The following is a 12,868-nucleotide window of genomic DNA, read 5'->3' on the forward strand; positions in this document are numbered from 1 at the left end:
TGTATTTTTAGTAGAGACGGGGTTTCACCGTGGTAGCCAGGATGGTCTCTATCTCCTGACCTCATGATCCGCCTGCCTCGGCCTCCCAAAGTGCTGGGATTACAGGCATGAGCCACTGCACCTGGCCTATTGTCTTATTCTTTTAATAACCAGTATACGTGTAATTATGCCCCTATTCTCTTATTTTGTGTATTTATGCTTTCTCTCTTTAAAAAATTATGGAACAAAAAAGTTAGATCTCTTTGTAAGAATATAAATTTTTACTAGCTGTTTCTTTTTTTTTTTTTTTTTTGAGATGGAGTCTCGCTCCATCGTCCAGGCTGGAGTGCAGTGGCGCAATCTCCGCTCACTGCAAGCTCCGCCTCCTGGGTTCACACCATTCTCCTGCCTCAGCCTCCCGAGTAGCTGGGACTACAGGCACCTGCCACCACGCCTGGCTAATTTTTATTGTATTTTTAGTAGAGACGGGGTTTCACCATGTTAGCCAGGATGGTCTCGATCTCCTGACCTCGTGATCCGCCTGCCTTGGCTTCCCAAAGTGCTGGGATTACAAGCGTAAGCCACCGTGCCCGGCCTAGCTGTTTCTTGATGAAATGAAACTCAGGCATAATTCCTCTAAATTATGAAATAATAACTATTTTTATAAATATGTAAGCTCCTTACCAACATCTTTTTATAAAAATACCTTTTTTGATCAATTTCTTGTTGCCGTTTAACATGTTTGTTCTCAAATTCACGAATATTTTCCACGCCAATTTCTTCACAGAAGTGTTGGAAGATATCGTCTTCTACCTTTTAAATTATTTTAAAACAATTGATTTAATAAGCAATTTTAAGAAATATATAATCTTAAATATGTTTTTCCCTCCAAGATTTTCCTGAATTAGGCCAAAAACTAATCCCACCAAGCATTACTGTATTCTGAGAAGCCAGTACTTTTTTTTCCTTTAATTCCATAAATTATGCCATCTACTTTCAAATTTCTTATTCAAAAAAACTAAGAAAGATCATAATTGGCCTTATTAAGTGCTTTGGCTTTATGAATGTTTAGTATAAAACTGGAAGAATTCCTTTTACTTTAGACCCACAAAAATATTACATTCTACATAAATAAAGGAAAGATTCTTTATGTATGAGTAATACAATAGCACCTTTGCCAGTATAGTAACAAGTGGAATGGGGCATAGAATTAAGAATGAAAAAGACTTGGAAAAGCTAGAATGGGGAAATTCAACAAAGTAAAATTTAACCTCAATGTTTTAAAGCTCTCATTTTATGTATAATTATAGGATGAGAAAGAACTATTTTAAGAACAGGACATTTTTAAAAACTTTCAGATTTTAGTTGAATATACATTAAATATGAATGTGGTATGACTGACGCAGTAGTAAGCTACAGTTAGCATGACTAGATAATCCAAGTCATGGAAAGTTACAGTTATAAACATACAGACCCACAATATGCTGTACAGACAATATTTTGACATCATGCTCTGTTCAGGGGCATTGATAACATCCAGAGGATGGTTACCAGAGCTGGTCTTAAATCCATGGTAATGTGAAATGAATAAAGAAACTAGGGATATTTAACCTGGAAAAGAGATAACTAATTAGGAAGTAACGTAAGTGTGGTTCCAAATCGTGGTAAACGTCAGGCCTAAAAGCAATGGGTGGAATTAATCAATGGGTGGTGTAACAAATCACTTTGTAAGGATCAGAGATACCCCACGGTGGAATGGATTAAATCAGAAAGTTTCTATCCCTTTATAAGCAGAATCTAGGTGACCAAATTTTTATTGTCCTAGAGCCAAGTACTGTGCCTGACACAGAATAGGTGTTTTAAAAAAAACTCCTGAGTGAATAAATAACCTTAAAAGATAAGCTGAATGACAGTTCTTTCCCTCATGGTATTAGGGAAGTGGGAGAAAAGAATGAGACTATAATTTTCACAGTGGGCAAGGAGAGGTTGGAGTGCAGAGGAGAGTAGGCACAGGTCATTGTCTCTTGAGGTGAGCAACAGAGGTTCTCAAAAAACACAAGGAAAATTTGGCAAACCAATAAAACTTAGCTTACAACATTGTTGTTTCTGACAGGGCACTGTTACCTATCAACCTTTGCTTTAGCATATATTTAAGAAGCCCTAAATCTAGTATCTGGTCTAGAACTACATATACCATTTAGGAATAAATATAACATTCATGACCTTATCTATCTTTTCTTGAAATTCTTTAATTCTTCGTTGTCGTTCCTTGATTCCTTCACTCAACATAATACATTGAGACTCAATATTTAGTAGTTCACTTTGTAACTGAGATTGTTCCTAATAACAAAAGAGAAAAATTTTTTTAACATGGCTGTTTTAGCTTTATATAGTGAAGCCAAAAATGTGATAGGTATCTTTTGGAATAAAAGAAGAATCTATGAGATAAGATGAATTCACCTGGATAAAAGGTTAAATACCACATAAATAATTAAGGGACTATAATATAATCTCAATCATGGGATAAAGTATCTAAAAATTGGCCAGGCATGGTGGCTGTAATCTTTGTGAAGCCAAGGTGGGCATATCACCTGAAGTCAGGAGTCTGAGACCAGCCTGGCCAACATGGTGAAACCGCATGTCTACTAAAAAAATACAAAAATTACATGCCTGTAATCCCAGCTACTCGGGAGGCTGAGGCAGGAGGATCACTTGAACCTGGGAGATGGAGGTTGCAGCGAACAGAAATAAAGCCACTGCACTCCAGCCTGGGTGACAGAGTGAGAGACTCTGTCTCAGGAAAAAAAAAAAAGTATCTGAAAATTACATGGAGCTATATAAATGTAATTCCTGAAATTCTATGTTCTGGGTCAAATGCCTATCATATTTTATGTAAGTCTATATTACCTGGTAAAAAGCAACAAGGTGCTTCTTCTTAATCATCTCTAGTTCATTTTGTGAATATTTGAGTCGTGTTTGAGTTCCCTGTATCAGGGTCTGTATTTGTTTCAAATCTGTTTCTTTGCGGAGTGTCTTCATTAAACCCTAAAAGGAAAGAAAAACATGAGAATATTTTATGATAGAAAAGCACTTTCACTTTTCAAAGTGCTTTCATATGTAATAATTCACTGATTTTTACATACCACCACACCTGCACCTTACCTCCCTTTCCTCTGATAAGAGACTGGGCAATTAAGTACATTAGTGATCTGGAGTAACCAAAATGCCATACAGCTTCCTCAAAAAAACTAACAGTGCTTAATAGGAAAGAATTGGGAATGGAAAATGAAGAGGGGTGTGTATATTCCATCCAACGCACATTAATGACATAAATAGGATCATGTAATTGCCTTGTTTTTAGTGCATCTTTCTGTTTTGGCTTGCCTCTCTCACTCCCTTCTTCTTTCACTCACCTTATTACTCAACCAAATTAACTCCCTCAGACACTCCCTCCCATTGACTCCAGGTCTTTTTTTTTTTTTTGAGACAGAGTCTTGCTCTGTCGCCCAGACTGGAGTGCAGTGGCACAATCTTGGCTCACTGCAAGCTCCGCCTCCCAGGTTCACGCCATTCTCCTGCCTCAGCCTCCTGAGTAGCTGGGACTACAGGCACCCGCCAGCAGGCCCAGCTAATTTTTTGTATTATTAGTAGAGACGGGGGTTTCATCGTGTTAGCCAGGATCATCTCGATCTCCTGATCTTGTGATCCACCCACCTCAGCCTCCCACAGTGCTGGGATTACAGGCGTGAGCCACCGCACCCGGCTGACTCCAGGTCTTCAGATAAACTCTTTCAACCAACTGCCAAGCAGAAACTCTGAATCTACCTATAACTTGGAAGTGCTTTCTCCAACCCCCAGCTCCCAGTTCTTCTGCCTTTCTGGACTTAACCAAGGTACATCTGACATGTATTGATTGATGTCTTAAGTCTCCTAAAACATATACAACCAAGCTGCAGCCTGGTGACCTGGGGCACACGTTCTCAGGACCTGTTGAGGTGGTGTCACAGGCATGTCCTTAACCTTGGCAAAATAAATTTCTAAATTGATTGAGACCTGTCTCAAGATACCTTCGGTTTACAATAAGATGGGGCACAAAATTACTTTCTCCAGATGTGCCAATACCATTTATTAAATAATCTATCCTTTTCTCACTGAACTAAAACATCATCTTGGTTGAACATTAATTGTTAAGCATACTGGGCTCTATTTCTGGAATTCCTGTTGTTTCATTAACCTGTAAGGTACCTGTAAATAGCTATATCTTGAATTTAGTAAGATTACCATAACTTCTAATTTGAGGCTTTAGGCAGTCTAGTCCACAGGCAGTAAGGTTTGTTTTGGGAAAGGGCTGTTACTGTCTTTGTTTCAAAGCTAAACTATAACCTAACTTCCTCCCAAAGTTAGTTTGGCCTAGGCCCAGGAATGAACAAGGACAACTTGGAGGTTAGAAGCGAGGTAGGGTCAGTTAAGTCAGACGTTTTTCACTGCCTCAGTTATAATTTTGCAATGGCGGTTCCATAACTTTAAATGATGACTATTGCAGTTTTCATAAATAATCTAGGTAAATGATTAAAATAATTAGGCAAATGTGATGGGATAAATACTTGTAGACAAACTCATAATTTGGAATCTAAAGTTACATTAAATAATAGATATTTCATTATTTGGGTATTTTCCAATAAAAATATATTGTAGGAAAACATTCTAAAAAAAAGGGTGTCCATTTCAAAAAGGTGAACAATTTTTGTCTAATTCAAAGCTTATTTAAAGGTTATGTATAAAACAAGGTAAAAGAAACCGGAAAATAAGAGAGAAGTAAAGAAAGTTATAAAAACAAAGACGGTTTTTTTTTTTTTTTTTTTTTTTGGTAAGAAAGCTTAAAGAGAAATAATTTTATATGAGAAAGAATCTTGTGTAGTAAATTTAGTCCTAGAATAAAATGACTGGTTGTTTAAGAAAAAGGGATGTTCAGGACAAACCAGAAAGTTCAAGCATATCATGAGTGGTCTGTGTAAGTCACAATAAAAAGATTTATAGAAAAAAAAACAAAAAACTTTTAGATGATCAAGTTGTCTCTAATTAAAGGGAAATTATAATGGTCTTTCTAGAGATTGGGTTTGATGTAAAAAATTACTCTTGCAACATGTGTACAAATATCAGGCCCAGTACAATACAGCAGTTCAGTCCTACCATGACTTGTCTTTAGTAAAAATGGAAAACTGGAGAGAGAAATATTATGTTTCAAAAACTAGTACACCTGTTGTTACAGTCTAGTCTTGCCTAATGTTTTTGAATTTTTACAGTTTGGACCAAATTCTAATTTTTCTTGGTTACAAGTCTTCAAAATAATGTTTTCAATTGTTTTCCTTCTTTTTTCCCCATTTTTCCTAATTTGGAGTTGCTGAAAACTAAGCTGTGCTTTTCGTAAAGCCCTACGAACTGAAGCTACACAACTTAAACTTCAGAAGAAAATAACAGCAACCTATTTATACACATAAGCCACTTTCATACCTGCCTACTAATGTATGGACTTCAGAGTAATGTGGCCTATATCGATTTTCCAGGATTGTTCTTCTTTTTTTGTTGTTCTTCCTTCCTTCCCCTATTTTCACAGGACATGAGAAAATCAGCTTTCCTAGTAACTTGGAACCTACTCATCTAGAAATAAACCATCCTAGCCATGAGAGATCACATGAAACCTGAGACCAGAGAATCATTTTCCTCTAAAATGCTTTCTCCAAAATATTTTTAAAAAGAAAAGGGGGGAAATGTGAAAGGAAAATAAATCTTGGGGCTCCAAAATCACTAAGCTAAAGGGAAAAGTCAAGCTGGGAACTGCTTAGAGGAAACCTGCCTCCTATTCTATTCAGAGTCCCCACTCTGTTCACCAAGATAAATGCATATCTGACTGCCTCCTTTGGAGAGGCTTAATCAGAAACTTAAAATAATGCAACCATTTGTCTCTTATCTACCTATGACCTGGAAGCCCCCTCTCTGTTTCGAGTTATCCTGCCTTTGCTTCCAGTTGTCTTGCCTTTTCCAGAGCGAACCAATATTCATCTTACATATGTTGATCGATGTCTCATTTCTCCCTAAAATGTATAAAACCAAACTGTGCTCTGACCACCTTGGGCACATGCTGTCAGGACCTCCTGAGACTGTGTCATGGATGTGCGTCCTCAACCTTGGCAAAATAAACTTTCTAAATTAACTGAGACCTGTCTCAGATATTCAGGGTTCACACTTCCAAGACTACATTGAATAGTGATAACAGATAACTATTTCTTGATTTTAACTGAAATGATTTCAGTGTTTTCACCATTTAAGCAATTATTTCTGTTCAAGTAAGAGCTATTTATTTTATTTAAATAATTTCCACTAATTAGTCTTTTACTTAGTAGTATTTAAACTAGGTCTGGCTGCTGAATTTTATCAAATGCCTTTTCTACATATGATGACATGACTTTTCTCCTGCCTTTAATTCATTAATAGATTATGATGATCACTTAAACACCCTTGTATTTGTGAAATAAATTCTATCTAGTCAGATGTATTATTTTACTACAGTGTTCAATTCTCTAATACTGACATTTAGATATTATATATTTATACTCATAAGGGAAGTCAGTTTTTAGTTTTATTTTTTGTACTATATATTTTATATTAAAGTTATACTACCTTTATAAAATAAGCTGGAAAGTTTCCATCTTTTTTATATGTTACATAGAACTGAGCTGTAAGCCCATCTGGTCCCAGAGGTTATTTTTGGTTTTTACTTGTGGTAAAATATACGTAACATAAAATTTACCATCGTTACCATTTTTATTTGGCTAGTCAAGCATAGTCGTGAGAGCTTTACCATTTCTAAGTGTACAGTTCAGTAGTGTTTAAATATATCCACATTGTGTGCAAGCAATCTCCAGATCTCTTCATCTTCCAAAACTGAAACTCTGTCTCACTTAAACAACAACTCATTCTCTCCCCTTCTACAGCCACTGGCAACCACTGGCCTCCTTTCTGTCTCTTATGAATTGGACTACTCTAGGTACCTCATGTTAGTGGAATCAGACAGTATTTGTCTTCAAGTTTCATCTATGTTGTAGCATATGCCACAATTTCCTCCATTTTTAATGCTGAATAATATTCCATTGTATGTATATACCACATTCTGTTTATCCATTCATCTGTTGATTGACACCTGGATTGCTTCTACCTTTTGGCTATTGTGAATAATGCTGCTATGAACATGGGTGTATAAATCTCTTTTTAAGACCCTACTTTCTTGTTTTGGGTATATGCCCAACATATTCACAGGTTTCTGGGGTGACAAAAAAAAGAATTGCTGGATCATATGGTAATTCTATTTTTGATTTTTTGAGAAGCCATCATACCATTTTCCATGATATGATACACCATTTTATATTCCTGAAGTCTTTTTTCAGTGTAGATCACAGTGGCATTAAATATAGTTTTTTTTTTCCTCACACAAAACTAGTTAGACTGATGCCATGACTCAATAATGGATCTAATTTTCAGCTCCTTAGTACAATGGCTTTGATCCTCATGTTTGCTTTTCCCTTGGTGCAATATTGCTGCTGCATCTTGACTGCGTTCCAGTCAGGAGGAAGAAATGCAGAACACCAAAACTTTCATTTATATCTCACTGGCCAAAACTTGTCACATGGCCAGCCCTAGCTACAAGGCAACTTGTGAAATTAAGTTGTTTTTGTTTTTCACAATCTTGTAATAGAGTCTAGAAAGGAAGGAAACTGTGGATGGGGATTAGGCCAGCAAACCACACCACTGCCTATCTTTTCAAACATTTCACTTTTTTTTGTTCAATCTTGGTAATTTATATTTTCTAAAAAATATCCATTTCTTCCAGATTATCAATTTTTAAAACTATACAGTTATTTGCATGTAGGATTCTTTTAAAATTATTTTAATGTTTTCATTCCTGATCATGTATGTTTGCGTCTAGCTTTTTTTTCCTTCATTAGGATTGCAGAGTTTATCTAGTCTTTCAAAAGCACTAGCTTTTAGATTTGCCCCTTTTCTATTTTCATTTGTTTTCTACGAAATTAATGTCAGCTTTAACAAAATTTCCTAGCCTGGGCATGGTGGCTCATGCCTGTAATCCCAGCACTTTGGGAGGCCAAGGCAGGCAGATCACAAGGTCAGGAGTTCCAGACCAGCCTGGCCAGCATGGTGAAACCCCGTCTCTACTAAAAATACAAAAAATTAGCTGGGCATGGTGGTGTGTGCCTGTAATCCCAGCTACTCGGCAGGCTGAGGCAGGAGAATTGCTTGAACCCGGGAGGCAGAGGTTGCAGTGAGCCAAGATCACCCACTGTACTCTAGCCTGGGCAACAGAGTGAGACTCTGTCTCAAAAAAAAAAAAAAAATTCCTTGTATAACTTTTGTTATTTTGTGGGTATTCTAATTTCTTTTATTTTTGTTTATTTTTAAATAGAGATGGGGTCTTACCATGTTGTCCAGGCTGGTCTCGAACTCCTGGGCTCAAGTGATCCTCCTGCCTTGGCTTCCCAAAGTGCTGAGATTACAGGCAAAAGCCACCACGCCTGGCCAGTTGTTCTAATTGCTTTCCTTTTTTTTTTTGAGACAGGGTCTCCTTCTGTTACCCAGGTTAAAGTGCAGTGGCATAATCACTGCTCACTGCAGCCTTGACCTCCCAGGCTTAAGTGTTCCTCCTGCCAAGTAGCTGGGACTACAGGTGCATGCCACCACTCCTGGCTAATTTTTTAATTTTTTATTTTTTGTAGAGAAGAGGTCTCACTATGTTGCCCAGTCTGTGATTCCTCTATTTTTTTTAGAGTGACTAATAAGTTCCCTTATATTTTCTTTCTTCTTTAGTAATGTAGACATTTTCCTCTTGATGTAGCTTTTACTGTGTCTCAAAGATAATGGTAGGAAGTATATTCCTATTCATCAGTTTTGAAATATTTTGTAATTTGCCTCTGGATTGCTTCCTTAATCCCAAAACTATCTACAAATACACTTCTTAATTTCTATAGAGACAAATATTATTTTGGTCACTATTTCTTATTTCATTAAATTATCATCTAGCTGACCTATAAAAAGCTCTACTTTAAAAAAACTATTGAGGTTTCCATTGTGGCCGAGCATATGATCAATTTTCATAAATGTTTAACAGATATTTTTAACAGTATCTCACATTTATTGAGCACTTACTGTTCTATGCAATTTACATTTATTAACCAACTTAATCCTCTTAATGCTACGAAATAGATGTTATTATTATCCCCATTATACTGATGAGGAAACTAAAGCATAAAAGCGTGTAACTTAGAAGTCACTCTGCTGAAATGTTCCACTATATTTTTATTTTTAATTAAGAAGTAGTTTCAAGCCTTCTTTTCCCTAATTCAACCAAACTAAACACTTAACCTTTCCTTCTAAGAGTGATTTTCCAACTCCTGAGTTATCTTTTCCATTCTATTAAAAAAAATTAGTCTCACTCTAAATATTAATATTTAGGTGCTATGTGCTGCAAACAGATTTATAATGGAAATCTTTGTCTTATGTTACATATAATCTTCTTTATTCAATTAAATTGTAAGTACTTACTGAAAGCTTACTACACACAAGGATTTTTAACCTTAAAGTTCACATTGTCTGATATTATTACTTTTGTTTTCTTTTTGTTTGCATTTGTCAGGTAAGCATCCCATTATTTTTCAACATTCAGGTTTTTTTCTTTTTTCTTTTCTTTTGAGACAGTCTTGCCTTGTTGCCCAGGCTGGAGTGAAGCGGCATGATCTTGGCTCACTGCAACCTCTGCCTCCCAGTTCAAGCAATTCTCCTGCCTCAGCCTCCTGAGTAGCTGGGACTGCAGGTGCGTGCCACCAAGCCCAGCTAATTTTTGTATTTTTAGTAGAGACAGGGTTTCACTATGTTGGCCAGGCTGGTCTCGATCCCTTGAACCCCTGGCCTCAAGTGATCCACCCACCTTGGCCTCCCAAAGTGTTGGGATTACAGGCGTGGGCCACCATGCCCAGCCTCAACATTCAGTTTTAAAATGACTTCTTGTAAATAACACTCACTTTTTAAATCTATGAGTCTTGATCTTTTAATGGGAGACTTAAATCTACTCATGTTTACCGTAATCACTGACATACAAAAATTTCATTACTTCCATCTTGCTTTTGTTTTATTCTTTTCACTCATTTTTATTGGTTTTCTATTTGTCCCTGTGTTAGCTTGGTATACTTTTTAACACTCTAGTCCCTCCTGTCCCCCTGCGTCCAATATACATACGGTCTTTAGAATATTCTAACTTCCTCTCCTCACAGATGAGACTTTTGGAACACATTGACCTTTCTCTCCACTTCTAATTCCTTGACTTTGCTGAGTTAGTTTAGCACTATTCGTTTATTATAATTAGGTCTATTCTAATTCATGTGTTGCTTAGAGTACTTTCCTTTTTCTTTTTACTTTTTTTTTTTTTTTTTTTTTTGAGACAGATTCTTGCTCTGGAGTGAATTCTTGGCTGGAGTGCAGTGGCGCAATCTGGGCTCCCTGCAACCTCCACCTCCTGGGTGCAAGCGAATCTCCTGCCCCAGCCTCCCAAGTAGCTGGGTTCACAGGTGCAGGCCACCACGCCCAGCTAATTTTTGTATTTTTAGTAGAGACAGGGTTTCACCATGTTGGCCAGGCAGGACTTAAACTCCTTCCTGGCCTCAAGTGATCCACCAGCCTCAGCCTCCCAAAGTGCTGGGATTACAGGTATGAGCTATTGCTCCCAGCCACTTAAGAGTACTTTCTCTAGTATTTTTGTCACATGGAGTACGTGGATGACAATCTGAATTTGCTTATTGGCAGATCCTCGAAAGGTAAATAATATCTTGGTTGTAGTCCTCTTCCTTTTAGCTATTATTCCATAGTCCCATCCAGTTTTGCAGTCTGATACGAGCCTTTTTTTTGTTTAAACGTATAAGGAATTTTTCTTGAAGGGCAGGTAGCTTAGCATTGCTTCTATAACCTATAGGTTAAGGAGTTACACCCAGATGTGTGTTATTGTGGGCCCTTTCCCACCAAACGTACGTGAAACTCTGTGTGTCCTTTCAACTGGTCAATTAAAGTTGATCCTTAGAGAAATTTTCTTGTTTTTAATTTTCTCCTTCTCTATGTTCTTTTCCTCCTTTCAAGAATTTATTAGTCTCACATCAAGTTTCCTGAGTCTATCTACTAAGTCTCTATTTTCCTCCTACTTCATATTTGTAATTTTATTACCCTAATTGAGAAGCTTCTTCCACTTAGTCTGCCAGGTTACAAATTTGGTTCTCAGCAATGACATGCTTTCCTTCAATTCATCTACTACATTTTACAGTTAAGAAATATGTTTTTGGCCAGAGGTGGTGGCTTATACCTATAATTCCAGCACTTTGGGAAGCCAAAGTGGAAGGACTGCTTAAGGCCAGGAGTTCAAGACCAGCCTGGTCAATATAACAAGGCCCTGTCGCTACAAAAAATTAAAATAAAAAAAAATTAGCAGGGCCTGGTGGTACACCCCTGTAGTCCCAGCTACTTGGGTGGCTGAGGTAGAAGGATCCCTTGAACCCAGGAGTTCAAGGTTACACTGAGCTATGATGGCACCACTGCCCTCTAGCCTGGGTGATGGAGCAAGAACTGTCTCTTTAAAAAACAAACAAACAAACAATAAAAGAAGTACTTTTTTTTTTTTTTTTTGTGAGATGGAGTTTCATCCTGTTGGCCAGGCTGGTCTCGAACTCCTGACCTCAGGTGATCCACCCGCCTTGGCCTCCCAAAATGCTGGGATTACAGGCGTGAGCTACCATGCCTGGCCAGAAGTACGTTTTTTAGTCCTAGGAAATCTTTTTGTGCGCTGGGGATTGGCAGGGGAAGGATGACACTATACTAAATTTCCTTAATGCTCCATTACTTTTTTTGTTCAAGTTATTGCCTGGCTCCTAGAACACCTCAGATACGTTTATGTATTTCTTTGCCCACTGAGGATCATGTCTGAGTATTAAAGTACCCTAAATCACAGCACCCCACAAGGATTTTCTATACCTGAGGGTCAGTAATTACAAGAGAAGACTGTCAGTACCACCCTGAGACAGAGACCACCCTGAGGCAGAAGAAAAGATACCTCTCTGGTATCCCTGGACTCTTCCAAACTCAGGAATAGGGAGGCCACAAACTTCCTGCTAAGCTAATATTTAGCTTCGTGGGGTTCAAGACCAGGCATCTTCACATGGGACAAATGTTTAACTTACCCCCAGATTCCACTATGTCCTGATTCTTACCCAAGCACTTTTCACATCAAAAGAGACGAAGCCCTATATCAGCTTTTCCCAGCAGCCTCCCTCAGAACCCAAGACATCATTCCCTCCTAGCTGCCACCTGGTTCAGGTTGTGACACACAGATGGAACCTTAGCATGGACATGGATGGGAAGCAAGATTTGCTTTAAGTTGGCATCTTCCCAGAACTTTTTCTGTGCCTAGGCCTAAATTTGTTAAAATCTTTAAAAGCTGAATATTCCTATACCTTAGATTAAAACATAAAATGTAGTCTTATGCTTCAGAAAAAGATGAAAATTAGTCAAGTAACCTTGCCAAAATATATGCTTGAATCAACCAAGGAAGAAAACTAAATAGAAACAATAAATAAATAATCTGAAAGCATTCTATATTGATTTAGCATCTGTAAAATTTGGCTTCAATAAATGAGGGAATTACAATATTCAACAAATGATACTTTTGTAAAATGGTAAGTCAGTTGGTAAAAATAAAGCTGGATCCCCAGTCATCAAAATAAATTCCAGATGAATAAAAAATATAAATGTTAAAAACACAAAAGCACTAGAAGGAAGCATTATTGAA

The 12,868-nt window shown here is 37.4% G+C and overlaps 1 protein-coding gene across 5 annotated transcripts in view; it reads right to left on the reverse strand.

The window, feature by feature from the left end:
- SMC1B (structural maintenance of chromosomes 1B) overlaps positions 1-12,868 on the reverse strand; it is a 69,537-nt gene that overhangs the window by 25,206 nt on the left and 31,463 nt on the right. For all 5 annotated transcript variants that reach the window (NM_001291501.2, NM_148674.5, XM_011530144.3 and 2 more), the window contains exons 13-15: positions 2,887-3,024; positions 2,203-2,319; positions 686-792 (exon numbers count right to left, since the gene is read on the reverse strand). In NM_001291501.2, the coding sequence (NP_001278430.1) occupies positions 686-792; positions 2,203-2,319; positions 2,887-3,024 (362 nt within the window). The remainder of the gene's footprint in view (positions 1-685; positions 793-2,202; positions 2,320-2,886; positions 3,025-12,868) is intronic.

The sequence above is a fragment of the Homo sapiens genome, chromosome 22 (assembly GCF_000001405.40).
Source record: "Homo sapiens chromosome 22, GRCh38.p14 Primary Assembly".
Lineage (NCBI taxonomy): Eukaryota > Metazoa > Chordata > Mammalia > Primates > Hominidae > Homo > Homo sapiens.